We start from the raw sequence: 17252 nt of genomic DNA on the forward strand, positions 1-17252 counted from the left end.
CCTTTTTGCCCCTACCCCTTAGTTCTGTTCGTTTTATTGTGAGCAACTTTCTTTTTTCTTTTTACTCCTCTAGGGATATGAAGCCTGACAATATTTTACTTGACGAACATGGTAAGTGAGTGATTTGTTTGCAATCAAGTACATGACATGCATGTAGAAAAGTTGATTGTTCCCAGCAGAGGGGTATTACACATGAAAAAGGTATTTTGTTCTATTCATTCGAGCTCTACTTACAAACTCCTCATAGACAATATGGGGGAACTTTATTACTTATGGCAGGTTATAGTACAACAATACACCCTTAAATCACATTGAATTTACCTAATGAGAAAATCATAGTCTACTCAATTTTCTTCCACTACTATATTTCTTCAAGAAAACCATCACAACTTTTCAGTGTTAGCTGGCCTTAATATAACACGCAATCACCTATTTTTTATAATGATACAGAAGGCCTCAAGCTGAGAGCATTTGGCCAGCAATAGCATCTACCTAGACATTAATGACATTATTTTGTTCTCATTGCATCTACTTTTTTGCATTCCTTCTTATAAAAGGCAAATTGGTTTTACATTTGCAAATTGGTTTTTACATTTACTTAATATCACAGAAGAATTCTTACATTTTAGGGTCATTGTAAAGACTGACCTAATACATGTAAACTACTTGATGCAGTGACTGTCACGAAGAAATCACTCAATAGAAGTCTAATATTGGTACAATTTTTATGAGGTGGTCATGGGTTTCTCCCCTTGGAAAGGAAGCTGGAACTGCTTCATCTTGTTTTATGCGGCTTTGTCTATGCTGGCACATAACTAGTATGTACCAATGTATCTCAGAAAAGATATCAAGTTTTCTGTTTAAAAATTTCAGTTTGAGAAAAATCAGTTAAAGAAAAACATAAAAAAGATAAAAGTATATGTGTTATCTAGATTTGTGATATAGGGATATGGCAATAATCAAGATGGTGATAAGTGAATGCTGAATTTCAAGAACTACTGATTACACCCTCTAGAATAAGCTTTTGCCCGTGATGATTAAATGTGTACGATTTCTTCCTAATATTTATTTTTGTGTATATTGGGATTTATTAGAATATCAGGGAAGATCTGCAGGGCACAAAAACTGTATGTTATAAATGTTAACAGTGTCAATAAGATCTTTGTTATGTCTTTAGAAGGCTGCTAGATGAGGAGAGTCCTAGATCTTAAAGGCTCCTTATTCAATTTTTACAAAAAGGATTTGCAAGTGGAACTGAAACTCCAAGTACCATCTATTGCTCATTATTTATTTACCTATTTTTGAGCCTGATTTTCCTGATCCCACCTGTGCTCAGGGGGCTAAGAAACACTGGTAATGACCTCTAATTTCAAAGCTCACTGTCATTACTTATTTATGGACTGTCCAAAAAGATTTTTTCCACTTTCTTCCAATGCCTTATTTCTTCCTTACCTTTACTGCTTCTGACATTTGAAAACAGGGTCTCTGATTCTCAGAAATGTGAGCAATGGTGAGATTTAGCATGAAGGTGACTTTCTTTAAAATACCAGCTATCCAGAGCTAGGTACAGTGGCAGGCACCTGTAGTATCAGCTACTTGGGAGGCTGAGGCAGGAGGATCGCTTGAGCCCAGGAGTTTGAATCCAGCCTGGGCAGCACAGAGAGACCCTGTTTCTTGTTGGGGGAAAAACAATTACCACTGGCTTCTCTTCTAGCCTATAGAGGCCACCTTTGTGCAACTTAGGGAGAAGTGCTCCCCCTGCCCACCACAGCTTCCTGACAGCACATGGCCCACCAAGGAGAACCCAAGTTAGGATTGAGTCCTCACTTGCTCCCTCAGCTGGGTGCCTTTGTGCATGATTTCTGCTGTTCCACCATTTATAGAGGCCTTAAATGAAGGCATATAGGTCCTATCAATCCAACACTTTCCCAGCTTTATCCTCCCTTCAGAGAACAGTGTTTTCATCCCAGGTCTCATCCATGGCTTCACCCTACTTCTATCATTAAGGCATCCTATTCTCCTTCAGTCAACTTCTTCCTCCTCCTCATTTTCTTGGTGACTTGGTCATTGCAGATGAGGAAAAACATGAAGAAATCAATTAATCTTCAAGTTTAACCACCTTTAGAGACTACCCTTGTGAAAGATTAATTGTGTAACAGTGTGGTTAAGAATGTGACTTCTGGAGCCAGATTGCCTTCATTCAAAACACACTTCACTCATTTCCTAGCCCCGAGAGCTTTGACAAGTTGCCTAAACTTTGTCTTAGTTTTTCCAGGGATCAAAAGAATACTTACTTAGAAAAAAAATCTTACTTACAAAAGAAATCTTACAGGGATCAAAAGAATACTTAATTAGGGTCATTGTAAAGACTGACCTGATACGTGTGAAGTACTTGATGCAATGACTGTCACAAAGAAATCACTCAATAAAAGTCTAATATTAGTACAATTCTTCTGAGGCAGTCATGGCTTTCTTTCCTTGGAAAGGAAGCTGGGACTGCTTCATCTTGTTTTATGTTTCTTTGTCTATGCTAACACATACCTAATACGTACCAAATCTCTACCAGATAGAATCTGTAAAAGTTGTCCTTCCCAAATAATTATTTTGATTTAAGAAGTGATATACCAAATATTCTGCTTGTCTACTTCTTAGATCTTGTGTTTAAACCATTTTGTTTATCCCTTCATCCTCAGGTAACTACACTTTCCGTGTACATTCTGCTGTCTTTCATGTGTGCAGGGGGCAAGGGTGCAGTCATGACATTTTATTCTTGGTGGAGCTGGGGCTCTGTTGCCTACAGAATACAAGCCATCATTCCAGTGTGCCAGAGAGAGAGTCTCAGTCTGCCCCTATTACCTGGTGTCTTATTTACAATGACTGCTTTCATTCTCAAGGCTTTTTAAAATTTGGTCAGTGAATTAAGAAGAGGCTTTTCTGTATTATATTCCTACCCTGAACTCAACTTGAAAATCAATTGCTTTGGGAAGGATTGTATATGAATGGTACAGAAGTGAGCAAACAAAAAAGACTGAGAGCCATTTTCTAAACATTGCCTTAGGGATCTCTTTCTGGAGATAATAATTTTTTTGAAGTTATTTACTTCGTTTGTTCAGATTCTGAAAAAGTAGGACTCTCAGACATTACTCAAGGAACATAATTAACCACTTTTCCATGAACAAATTCCTGTTGTTCACCTCTCCCCAGCTCGTTATGTAGAGCTGATCTTGTGAGAATCAGCTGAATCACAAATCAATGCCTGCCTTTTAGAGTGTCTGCTGGTGTGACTTTCCATGTGGAGCTCATATTTGAAGACCTCATTTGCCTTCTCCATCTCCATTTATAATATTTCATCCCTGATGGGCTGTCGCTTGGGCCTCATGTGGAAATTGTAGCCACTGTGAAGGGTAACCACCTATCTCTCTGGTGCCCCCTATGCGCATCCCTACAAGTGAGCTGTGTATCACACCATGCTGCTTACATTTTTATGCAACACGATTCAGTAACAGGCAGAAACTTTTATTCTTACTGACTCATATTCTTTATATTCATCTGAAAAGATTGACATTTAAAGGAGCCAATTGTACAATGGGAAATCCACTGTGTGAATATTTCTTGTACATCAGAATTTGCCTTAAAAATGTTTTTAACTTAGAGCACATCTGTACTGTTCTCCCCAAATGTCCCATTTACTAGTTCAGAGCAAGATGACATTAGGTCTTGGGTGACTCCTGACCCACTATCCTAATGTATATTTTCATTTCCTACCAATGTAAGTACCCCATCCAATTCTATCAATACCATAGTGTCTAAAATTCTTGTATTTTTCTTATTCAGGAAATGCTACAACCAGAGGAACAGTAATGTCTGCCTGACATATCAGAGAAAATGACAATTATGTCATCATCTGTCACTTAGGTTTCTTAATACCATCCTGTTACAAGGAATAGAGGCAAAAACTCAGCGTAGGAGGTGAGAAAAAACTGAGGCTGCCATCTTAACAGCCTTTTCATTGCAGAGTCTCAAAATGTACCAAAAGATGAAGTGGACAGTGTCCTTTTAAAACAACATACAGTGTAGAATACAGTAACTTATCCCCATTTAATTACTCCCTAGGTAGTGCCTAAGGATATACATTTTCAGCAAGGATCTCAGAAAAATGTGGGGCACATATTCTAAACACCTGCGAGTAGCAGAGACTTAAAAGTTGGGAGCAGTGCCAACTGATTGGTTATGGTGCCCTAGAGCACTGCGTTGATGAAAGAGATCCTCAGGCTGTGCACAGGAGCAGCAAGAAAGAGTGTAAATGATGACAACAATGATGGCTGAATTCAATGGCATCATAAAATGAATTCAGATTTTTTATATGATCCTCTATCCCAAGCAATAGAGGCAAAAAAAAAAAGGCAGAAACCCTCTCCTAGAGTGGTAAATTAGGAAGTTCTGAGGCTTGCACCTGAAAAACTTTTCACTAAAGTAGTGATTCTCAACTGGGCGTAATTTTGCTCTACTCCTTCTCCCTGCAGAGGACATTTGGTAATTTCTGGAGACATTTTTGATTATCAGGATTCCAGCCAGGGTTGGGAGGTGATATCAGCAGCTAGTGGGTAGAGGCCGGGATGCTAGCATGCATCCTGCAATGCACAGGACAGTTCGCACTACAAAAAATTATCAGGTCCAATATTTCAATGGTGCTGAGGTTGAGAAACTCTGCTCTAAGGCTCACTCAAGGCCTGGGCTAATGAAAAAAGCCAGAGAAGTCCTTCATTCCCAAGGCAATTCCTGTGTCCTTCAGTCAGCAGGAGACTGAACCCTTTCCTGTGATCCAGCAGTCAAATTTCATTTTCAAAACACAGAAGGGAACCTGGCAGATAGGTCACCATGGTAAGGAGAAGCAAGTCATGGCTGTAGCCGGACCTGGGACTAAGGCTTAGGGCCAGCACTCTGTGAAGTTCTGCCTTCATTGTTTAGCTCAGAAGCACCAGGTTACAAGATCCAGTAGAACCTGACCCTCAAATAATTTCTCCCTCTCCTTAAATAGGCATCCTGGAAGTGGACTAGAACTCTGAGCCAATCAGAAATTAACTGTTTTAGGTTATTCAGTTCTTTGATCTTGTGATACAGCACACAAAGTTTTTGGTAGATTCATAGTCTGACAAAGGGATTCTAGACAAAATTCTAGGTCTTAACTCCAGCTCTGTAACTTTTGAGTCTTTTGAACCTAGCCATAAATGACTCATATATAAAATAGGGCCTACCTCACTAGGCTAAAGGAGAAATTTTGTGCAACAACATTTTGAAAACTGAATCATGCAAGTGTAAACAGCATTTAAAAGGAAAATACTCAACATTCTTTCAACTGACGTGTAATGAGTACTCACCAGAGTTGAGATGTTCTGCTAAGCCAGGCCCTCTTTTAAAAATGTAATCTCAAACTTTATTAGGTCTCATAATCACCTGGAAGGCTTATTTAAATATTGGCGCCCAACCCACAGAGTTTCTGATTTGTTATAATAGAGTTGAGGGGGGACGGGGCGTAAGAATCTGCATATCTAACAAGTTCCCAGGTGATGCTGATGCTGCTGATCTGGGCACTACATTGTAGGAATCAATTGGCTCTAAAACCTTCTCTACCTTCCACTTCTACATGAGCATACATAATCTTGTAGCTGAGTCAGCTTGGAAATCTATGCAGACTAAAGTAGACAGTTGCATGTCTGGCTGCTCATCTGAATCACCTGTGGAATTTGTTGTTTTTAATACAGATACCTGGCTCTCCTACAAGTCCCACTGAATTGGAGTTTCAGGAGACCGAAGCCCAGGCACATGTATTTTGCAAAACTACACTGAAGTTTCTGATAATGACGGATATCAACAATTAAACGCTTACTTCTTGCCAAATGCTGTGCTAAGTCTCCTGTAATCATTCTTTCATTTAATATTTCTAATAACCTCTTGAGAAGACTATGATTATCTTTCCAACTTTACAGAGAGGATAAGTGACGTTTTCAAGGTAACACAGCTAGTTAGTGGTAGAACCTAGACTTGAAGCCAAGCAGTCTGACTCCAAGAAACAGGCTCTTCACCACAGTCTCCAGACTCACCTGATTTGTATTAAACTTTGTGAATCACTGATCCAACACTATGAGCAGGACCCATGGGGAGAAAGAGAAAAAGAAAAAACAGAGACAACCTACGCTATGATAAAGTTATTGAAATCAGGCATTGGTGCCACTCCAGCAAGAATGAGTGGCTACCTTTTTTTTAGATGAGTGCTACCTTTACTTTACTGAAATATCATGACATAAACAAAGCCAAAACACTTTCTGCACAAAATAAAATCCTGGTGATAAAGGCAGTGGGATTTATGCTTAGCAGCAGGCTGGATACTATCAGGGAGCAGACAAAGAAGTTTGATACAGGGCTTGTGGACTGTGGGCCCTGGAAGAATCTGATGACATGCCCTCCAATTACAGCTGTATCTCATCAAAACCACAGACACATGTAAATGGAAATGCCAACACTTCAAGATTCTCTGAAAGCAGTTGACTGTCATGCCAACAGCTAACATAATAGGCTTGTTTGCCTGAGCTTTTGGCACGGCCCTTTTGTTCCCTTTAGCTGTAAATGCAGGGACCCTAGAGCACCTCATAGAGTGTGTTCCCTGCCACGTATAAGTATTAGACCCACACTATATTGCTTTGAGTGTTAAAGCTGAAAGAGACCCTAGAGATCATTTAGTCTACTCCTTCTTTTTTTATGTGAAGGAAAATTTAGATCCACCTTGGAAAAGGACTTAGAGTCTACTATGTGTTAGAGGCTGAGTTCAAGGCAGAACCCAGGCCTCCTGGCTCCCAGTCTAGTGCTCTTTATAGAATCCCTTTAAAAATGAAGTTGACTGGCCGGGCGCAGTGGCTCACGCCTGTAATCCCAACACTTTCAGAGGCCGAGGCAAGCAGATCACGAGGTCAAGAGATCGTAGAACACCCTGACCAACATGGTGAAATCCCATCTCTACTAAAAATACAAAAATTAGCTGAGCATGGTTGTGCATGCCTGTAATCCCAGCAACTCGGGAGGCTGAGGCAGGAGAATCACTTGAACCCGGGAGGCGGAGATTGCAGTGAGCCGAGAGCACACCATAACACTCCAGCCTGGCAACAGAGTGAGACTCCACTTCAAAAAAAAAAAATTAAATTAAATTTAAAAAAAACCTAAAGTTAAACCCCGCCCCCCACCCACCGCCCCCCGCTATCCCTTGATAACAGTTATTTTGCTGGGAACTGATGAGGCCAACCTGAATTATCAGACAAAAAATATGTACAAAAATATTTTAGAAAAACTTGAAGAAAAGGGATGCTTTCTTGGCTAGGAAATAAATATTTGTATCCATATTCATGCCAGTTTTGTAGTAATAATATTTGCCTCTTACTTTTCTTTTCTTTTTTTTTTGAGATAGTCTCACTCTGTCACCCAGGCTGGAGTGCAGTGGTGTGATCTCAGCTCACTGCAACCTCTGCCTCCCAGGTTCATGTGATTCTCCTGCCTCAGCCTCCCAAGTAGCTGGGATTACAGGCACCCATCACCACGCCCAGCTAATTTTTTATTTTTTATTTTTAGTAGAGACAGGGTTTCACCATTTTGGCCAGGCTGGTCTCGAACTCCTGACCTCAAGTGATCTGCCCACCTCAGCCTTCCAAAGTGCTAGGATTACAGGGGTGAGCCACCACGCCCAGCCTATTTGCCTCTTTAAAAAAAATAATCCCATAAGGGATGTTTGGAAACGTGATACTTTGAGTATCTCTTGGCTGTCTCCTTCATAGTATTCATAGGCTAAAGTAACTTAAAATGTCACCAACAGACAAAAGATGCCTAACTAGAATTACCTGACCACAAATTCTTAACTACTAAGGGTAAAACTTTCTGAGGCTGAACTACAGGCTTACAATCAGAGACTAATCATTGCATATCATGAAATGGAGAATTGTTGGTTTAAGACCATATCGGCCTTGAGGATGGACTGCAACTGGCCTACAAGAATTAACAGACTAATTGGGTGTTTTCAGTTAAAAGCATGATTGTGCCACTGGGTTGAATGGGACTTAACTTTCTGTGTGGTTCTTCTCTCTCTGCAGGGCACGTGCACATCACAGATTTCAACATTGCTGCGATGCTGCCCAGGGAGACACAGATTACCACCATGGCTGGCACCAAGCCTTACATGGGTATGGGTTTCATGAGTGTCTTTTTTTTTTCTTTCCTGTAAATACCATTTATTACAGGTGGAATCATCTGTGGGGATTTGCAGCTAGAACTGGTAAGTTCCTCTCTGACTTTACCTGTGGAGCTTCTGATTTCATGGGTCTTCTCCACTAGCAAGCACCCAAGATGACTTTGATAGGAAAGGACCATTGATTACATTTTGAAAACTTACTTCGTGTGTCAAGGAAGACCGTTTGTACCCACTTCCTAACAAAAATATTAACTAATTCAATAAATACCTACTAACTGTCTCTGTGTGCTTAGCACTGTTTCAGATGCCGGTGACCCTGTAGAAAGCAACACAGACAAGGTCTTCAGATCCTGGAGCTTACATTCTAGTGGGAGCAGATTTATAAAAAAAAAAGAACCAAACAAGGCCGGGCATGGTGGCTCACGCCTGTAATCCCAGCACTTTGGGAGGCTGAAGTAGGCAGATCATGAGGTCAAAAGATTGAGACCATCCTGGCCAACATGGTGAAACCCTGTCTCTACTAAAAATACAAAAATTAGCTGGGTGTGGTAGCATGCGCCTGTAGTCCCAGCTACTCGGGGGGCTGAGGCAGGAGAATCGCTTGAATCTGGGAGGCGGAGGTTGCAGTGAGTCGAGATCGCGCCATTGCACTCCAGCCTGGCGACAAAGCGAGATTTCGTCTCAAAACAAACAAACAAACAAACAAACAAAGAAGTAGGAAACAGTAATAAGCAAAATGATAATAAGTGGCAAAGTATTATTTTAACCATTATTTACATAATACTGCATTACATACATAGAGCTATAAACTTTACAAAATACATTCCCAGCTATAATTTTAGATTTACTTGTAGTGCCACAACAATCCCATGAATTCTTCTGTTTAAAGATAAGGAAATTCTGGAGCTGGATGGTGGCATGCATCTGTGGTCCCAGCTGCTTTGGAAGCCAAGGCAGGAGCATTGCTCGAGTCCAGGAGTTGGAGGCTGCAGTGAGCTATGATCATGCCACTGTACTCCAGCCTGAGTGATAAAGTGAGACTCTGTCTCTAAAAACAAATAAATTATTTTTAAAAATAAATAAAGGTGAGGAAATTCTGCCTCAGAAAGTTTAAATGTCTTTGCATTATTTTGTGTGTAGCGAGGTGAGGAACTGGTTTTTGCCTTGACAATTCAGCATTTACTAAGGGGTGACCAAAAAGAGAGTGTTAGATGCAAAATTGTCAGTTGGTTTCACGTATAGTTGTGGTAACAAATCAACTACAAAAACTCTAAGTTCACCTGTTGGGAGCAGCCATCTATATAGACACCAGAACTAGTTGTTAGCAGAACCAGCTTTACTTCCCGTCCAGCCTCAACAATGCAAGGAGAGAGCTAGTGTCCTCGAGGGGGCACACAGTATTCAGAAAGAGGGAGTTCTCCCTCCCTTTTCCCTGTGGTTGCTCCTAAGGCAAGTGAGTCAGATCTCAAGAGAATTATCTGTAAACTCTTAGAGTGACTGCAAGAAAAGATACCTGGAATTTAATTCTTGATTAGATATCTGTGTAGTTACTGGACTTGTGACTGGTCCTGGAGTTAACACAGCCTGGTTGGCCATGGAAGTTTGATGAGTTTGGGGGCTAGTCTTTCTGGGGATCATAGCAGCAGGAGACAGGTATGCAGTGAATGTGATTTGTCTTGGGGAGAAGGGAGGTGGATTAGCTACAGGCTGTGATCCACCTTCACATGGGACCCTCCAATGACCAAGAATATAGCCTGGAAGGGAGGGAGGCTCCTGTCAGTGTGACTTCCTGAAAACACCACAAGTCCCAATAGAGCTCAACATATCAGAATCACTGAGAGTGGAGTCTAGGCATAGTGTGATTTAAAGCTCTTAGCGTAATTCCTCCGTGTAGCTAGGAGTCACAACTTCCACCACAGACCCCTAAAGAGAGATTACTCTGCAGGGTAGCACATGTGTGAGGACCCCTCTGCCTCGACTACCCTTCTTTCATGTCCTAAAACAAATAGTGCTTTCTAGGAAAAGATAGAAGGACGTGTGTGAGAGCCAGATCAATCCTCCACCTCCATACCGGGGTGGCTGAAACCAGCCCAGCAGGGTGAGTGAAGGAGCTTTGAATCAGATATAAGAATAGTTTTAAAATTCACAGAACTGAATTGTAAAGCATCTAAAGTAAATGTAATAAGCAAATAGGACTAAAACTTATTAGGCAACAGACTGAGATATCATTAGGCGAGCTCCTTATCCAGCAAAAACAGGAAGTTAGACACTGCACAGTTGCTGTCAAATGACAGAAGACTAAAAACTACTCATGCTTGGCGGGGTGCGGTGGCTCACACCTGTAATCCCAGCACTTTGGGAGACCGAGGCAGGCGGATCACAAGATCAAGAGATCGAGACCAGCCTGGCCAACATGGTGAAACCCCATCTCTACTAAAAATACAAAAATTAGCTGGGCATGGTGGCGTGCATCTGTAGTCATAGCTACTCGGGAGGCTGAGGCAGGAAAATCACTTGAACCTGGGAGGCGGAGGTTGCAGTGAGCCGAGACTGTGTCACTGCACTCCAGCCTGGCGACAGAGTGAGACTCCATCTCAAAAGAAAAAACAAACAACAACAACAACAAAAAACCTACTCATGCTTTACCCTAATTAGTTAAGATGCTTAAAGCAGGTGATGTGGTGATGTTGCTGTTTAAACTGGTGGGATTAAGTCGGGTGGAATGAATTGTTTCAGCTAGATATGGTCAGAGTAATTCAAAGGTAAAATATTTCAACTTGAAATCAAGGACAAGAGCAATGCCATTTTCTTTTAATATTTCATTCTCTTCCCCCATGTAACTAGAGAGAGAGAGAGAGAGAGGAAAAGAGAACCCCCTACATGCAGAGCCACCTCACTTTCCAACAGAAATCTTCTATGAGAAAAAAAAATGAGCCTTATTTTCTATGATATTTGAACAACTGCAAATTTCATGGCTTTCAATTACCAGTGGGGGGAATAAATCTCTTTTGTCACTTCTAAAATAATGGACATATATAATTCAGCCTATTTTCTGCCTAAAACCTATGGTACTCAAATGATAAAAAAGCATATCCAAGCCTGCTGCTCTGATGAGTTTATTCTCCAGGTTTCCTGGGTTTCCATATTAAGGGCTATTTTCTTGGAACCAAATCAGAAAATGTGCATCTGGGTTTCCAGGGTTGGTTTCCATGGTGAGAGAAGTACGGGGAGGCCACCTTTCTTTCCTCTCCCCAGTGGTTTTAAGTACAATATCTGTATAATGTAATTTTTTCAAAGTTGGCATTTCTAGTCTTCTCACAAGATAGAACTGGGAAATTGGAACCTAGGAAAAATTCTGTGCACCTTCCACTTTTACCCTTGTAATTAACAATGACTAATATTTCTTGAAATCTTTCCCTGGACCAGACAAGGTGTTAAATGTTTTACATTCATTTATTTGTTTATTTTTCTCAGCAGCCCCATGGGGTGGACTATACTTATCACTACTTTATAATGAGAAAAATCAGAAGCTAAATAATTTGGCCGAGATCACATGGCTAATAATTGAAAAGTCTAGATTTAAATCAAGCTCTGTCTGATTTCAGAAATCAAGCTTTTTCTTAAAAGGAAGATTAATGAGAAATAAAAATATATATTTGTAAATATTTTTATCTGTGGTTTTTAAATGGTTCTAAGTCAACTTAGTTAGGCTAACATATTCGAAATGTTTCTTGCCTTATTCCAAAATGATTATGTGATTGCCACACTCCTCCTTTTGGATAGGAGTCTTTCCCAGACGTATTGTGGGTAGAAGTCTGCTGTCTCTTTTTAAAAATTATGCTCCCAATGGTTTGGTAAAATCTACCAAATCTATCAGCACCCATTTTATAGTGCTTTCATAGGATACTAAGTAGCAATTCACCAGAAAGAACAAAAAGAATTCTAAAAAGAAAGAAAACTAACCAAAATACTGAATGAAGATTGGAGAAATATTCATCTACTAATACAAGATGCTGAGCATATTTTAAATCAGTTCCATAGCTCTGTAAATAATAAGACAGTATGCCAGTTCTTCACCACCTTCCATCAAGCAAGGAAGTTTTGCTTTTTACAATTTATTGTCCTCTACCTCTGTGCTCCCTCTGGTCCCTCCATTATTCCTTCTCTCTTCTCCTTTGTCTGTATGAATATAATCCAGATTACTTAGAGTTAACCAATTAAAACCTTCTCGGCCGGGCGCGGTGGCTCACCCTGTAATCCCAGCACTTTGGGAGGCCGAGGCGGGCAGATCACAAGGTCAGGAAATCGAGATCATCCTGGCTAACACGGTGAAACCCCGTCTCTACTAAAAAAATACACAAAAAAATTAGCCGGGCGTGGTGGCAGGTGCCTGTAGTTCCAGCTACTCGGGAGGCTGAGGCAGGAGAATGGCGCGAACCCGGGAGGCGGAGCTCGCAGTGAGCAGAGATCGCGCCACTGCACTCCAGGCTGGGCGACAGAGCGAGATTCCGTCTCAAAAAAAATAAAATGAATAAAATAAAAAATAAAAATAAAAATAAAACATTCTCCTCCAAATTATATATGTATGTATGTGTATATATGTATATGTATGTGTGTGAGTGTGTGTGTGTATATATATATATATATATAAATAAGTTCACTATGGACTAGCAAGCAAAAGGAAAGTAATAATCCCTTTGCCAATAGATATTTATGGTTTATTTCCAGACATTTTTTCCTAAGCACAAACACATACTGTTTACATTTTTTAAATATTCGATCATGCTAAATGTAACCTAAATTTTCATTTTATAATGTAACAATAATGATAGCATCATATAGTGAACATTTATTGTTCCAAGCACTTTGCTAAGTTTTTAACATTTATTATTAAACTCTCAACCCCATAAAATAGGTTTTACTATTGTTTAGATTTTACAAGTTAAAAAAAAATCAGGCCCAGAGAGAGAGAAAGTGATGTGTTCATAATCACACAGCCAGTGATTGGCAGAGCATGAAATTAAACCCAAGTCTAGAAACATGCCGTGCCTGAGACATGGACGATGATGTGACAATGATGAAGGTAGAATGTCTGACATTGCTAAGCTCTTCCTAAATGTTAAGCACTGTTGTAACTGCATGCATTGTCATTTAAACTAAAAACAGTTCTGTGAGGCCACTACTATCGTTACAGTTTTATTATTGCATAATATATTAACATATAATTAATGTAGTATATTGTATATATAGTACTATTGTTATAGTATATATTGTTCTCACTTCAGAAATTAGCAGACTGAAAGGTTAAGAAACTTGTTGACTGTGAAGCTGGAGACAGTCATAGGGGTCTGATGCCAGAGCCCTAACTCTTAACATGCTGCAGTACTGTCCCTTTGTTCATGTCAATAAACATGCCTCTGCTAAAATAGAAACCCACTTCTCTTAATCAATTTTTTATTGTTGAATGTTAGGTTGTTTCTCATTTTGAAATACAGATAGAGCATCCCAAATCCAAAATGCTCCAAAATCCAAAACATTTTGAACACCAACATGACACTCAAAGGAAATGCTCATTGAAGTATTTTGGATTGATTTGGGGATTTGGGATGGCCAACCAGTATAGTGCAAATATTTCAAAATCTGAAAAAAAAAATTGAAATGCAGAACACTTCTGGTCCCAAGTATTTCAAATAGGGGATACTCAACCTGTACATTTAAATTTGTAGTAAAAATCCTGTTAGCAGAATTATGTCCTGGAACTTAGTTATTTCTTTGTGATAAATTTTCATTCAATAATAATAGTGTATTCTCTTACTGAAAATCACTCAAAGAAAATTTTGTGTTCTCACCACAGAAAACAGTAATGTGGGTAATGTGAGGTAAGGCACATGTTAATTAGCTCTATTCAGCCATTCTAAAATGTATTTATTTCAAAAAATAGTGTCATATACAATATATGCAATTTTTACTTCTTAATTAAAATTAATTAATTTGATTAATTAAAAGAGCAAAAGAATTTCTGGTCAAAGCCTTTACATGTTAATAGATTTCTGTTCTGAAAATTCATATTAACTTGTACTTGCTCTGGAAGTGTCTGAAGATATTCATTTCCCTGCATTCTTATCAGTGCTACACTATCAATATCTTTAATTGTCCCAAAAAAGGTAGGTAAAAATGATATGACATTATGATATTACCACAGTATTTCTTTGACTTCTTTTGTCAATTGCCTGTTCAAATTCTTTGCTCATTTTCTATTAAGGTGTTAATACTTTTATCCTATTCCAATAGTTCTTATTGATTATATAAATAATTCTTGCCTTTTATATATTTGGAATATGAAATCCTAGGGTATCATATTTGTTGTACATTTCATTACAAATATAATTTCTCATTTTTAATTTGTTGCTGTTTTATGGCCTAGTTTTGACATGAAAAGCTTGCTAAAAATATTATCAAGCCACTCATCTTTTTACTTTGCTTTCTAACTTTGATGCTTTTCTTAGCAAGACCTTCTTACCAGATTTTAGATGTGTTTGCTTAATATTTTTATTCTGATTATGGTTTCATTTTTTTACTTAACTCAGTTGTATATTATTTTGACTGAACGGATGTGGCAAGGATCTGACTTTATTTTTGTATGATTATTAAATAATTGTTTTGAGACTATGTATTAAATAAGTCCCTTTCCATGCTGATTTGAAATATGTTCATCATAAACTAAATACATTTTTGTGCTAATATCTATATTCTGTAGATTTCAAATCTTGTAGCTTTATAGGTTAATACATGGGATGCGGGACTCTTTCTTTATTCTTTTCCAAAAATATTACTTCCACAATTTTTTTCTTGTAGATGAAATTTAGAATCATTTTTGTAAAGTTCCATGAATTAATCCCATTAAATGTATAGATTAGTGTTGGGTCCCTTTCTTTATGTCCTGACCAAAATTTAATACCCACGTTTAAAAAAATCTGAAAACCAAATGATGGAAATCCAAATATTTAATAAATATATTAAAATGTAGTCAAGCTTATTAGTAAACAAGACAATGCCAATTTAAACCACAGTGAAATACTATTACACACTCACCAGATTGGCAATAAAGGGTCAGTTATTGCCAAGTGTGGGTAAGGATGTTCAACAAAAGGAACCCTGATCTAATACTGGTCATAGTGTGAATTTATACAACACTTTGGTAAATAGTTTGGAGTTCTGTGGTACACAGAAAAGTTACACATTCTTATCACCAACAGTTCCCCTGCCAGGAATACACTCTAAAGAGATATGCACTTATAGGAATCTCACATGTATAGGAACGTTCATGACAGCATTGTTCACAATAGTCCCAAACTGAAAATAACCCAAATGGCTATCAACAATGGGATAGGTAGGTAAATTACAGTATATTCATATAGCACTAAAAGTGAACAAACTTAACTACATGTAGCAACTTGGATAAATCTTATACACATACCATTGAGTAAGAAAAGTAAGACACCAAAGAATACAAGGAATACGATTTGATTTAATAGGATTTAATTTAATGGAATTTAATAGAATACAAGGCATAGATTTTTTTTTGCTTTGTTAGTGTTTCCTTTATTATAAAGCACTGAAATAAATAAATAGGTAGCTAGCCAATTTATCCACAGTTTCTGGGAGCTATATAAGATAGGCAAAGCTAAACTATTGTCTAAAAATATGTACATAGATATTGATCTATATAGAAAAACAAGAAAATTATTAACATAAAATTTAGCACAGTGACTTCTAGGGTTATGAACAGAACAGGACACAGTGATGGGGACAAGATTCTATTTCTTGACCTGTATCATGTTTATGTGGACATTTGCTTATAACTGTTTGCTAATTCTGCAGTGTTTTATTTACTTTTCTGAATATATGTATAGAAATACATAATGAGCAATACCAAACAAAATACTCAGTGGCTTTTTTGAAGGACACTTAGCCCTTCTCTGACTCTCTTAGTACTCTCTTAGGTGCAGGGAATCTTCTGGAAGGGTTGGTGAAAGCCCTTCAATATCTTCCTGCTCTGGTTTCTCAGCTATTTGAGGGCTCAAATAATTACTCGTCTGTTATGTTTTTGTATGTTGTCATAAGGTTTCTTCTTAATGTTCCACCAAAATGCTTCAGTGCCTTGCATACCATGAATATTTTCTGAATGAATAAATGTGTATTAAAATGTTTTAATGCCTGAAAATAGACCAGGTAGAAGAGGATGAAAAAGAATACTGGATAAATAAAGCTGGAAGAAAGAAAGAAAGTGAAAAGAATACTCATGTAAACCCCAAGGATAATCCAATATGACAGATACATAACTTGTATAGAGTAATGTTTATTCTATTAGGCATTTTCTTAGCACAGTGGCTCTGATTATCCCTCAAAGTTCTTTGTAGCTTCTCTGAGTGACGTGTCTGTCACCCATCACCTGGGGACTATCTGATATGACTTGTTGTGAGATACTGAGAAGGGAGAGCAGAAATATAGTCCATCCTGTCTGTGGGAGTAGTGTGGGGTCAGGGCCATTACCTCCCAAATTGCACTGGGGGCTGTGACTTGCAGAAAGGATGCAGTGATTCATGAAAGGTGAATGCACTAGGGAAATAGCCCTCCTTATTCCTGCTGCATCAAGCTCTTATAGTCAGGGCCAGTCCCGGGCATTGGGATGTAAACACTCTACCTCTCTAGTTGGATGTTGTTCACAGGATTTTACTTAAAAAGAACATGAGTGCACTGGGTAGGGAAAACCTGTGTGTGCAGGACCCATGTCATACCAGTTTCCTTTGCCCAGAGCCAGCACTTTATACAGGAGGCTTGGGATCAACCATACAAATCTTTCAACTAGGTCAATTATTATGAATGTTTGCCTCTCTAGAAGCCTACCCAATGTTTCTGAGCACTTTATAAGTGCTAGGCACCATACTGAGATTTTGACATGGATTATCACTGTTAATTTCTAACTCTATAAAGATTGCCTTATTGGCTGGGTGCAGTGACT

The 17252-nt window shown here is 38.7% G+C and overlaps 1 protein-coding gene across 9 annotated transcripts in view; it reads left to right on the forward strand.

Moving 5' to 3' along the window:
- The window catches only part of STK32A (serine/threonine kinase 32A), a 166965-nt gene that overhangs the window by 107907 nt on the left and 41806 nt on the right, over positions 1–17252 (forward strand). For 7 of the 9 annotated variants that reach the window (XM_011537577.3, NM_001112724.2, NM_001287740.2 and 4 more), the window contains 2 exons: positions 74–111; positions 8133–8222. In XM_011537577.3, coding sequence (XP_011535879.1) covers positions 74–111; positions 8133–8222 — 128 coding nt within the window. Of the gene's footprint in view, positions 1–73; positions 112–3888; positions 3970–5762; positions 5899–8132; positions 8223–17252 lie in introns of those variants that run through there. The other 2 variants (NM_145001.4, XM_017009214.1) reach the window with 2 other exon arrangements.

The sequence above is a fragment of the Homo sapiens genome, chromosome 5 (genome assembly GCF_000001405.40).
Source record: "Homo sapiens chromosome 5, GRCh38.p14 Primary Assembly".
NCBI lineage: Eukaryota > Metazoa > Chordata > Mammalia > Primates > Hominidae > Homo > Homo sapiens.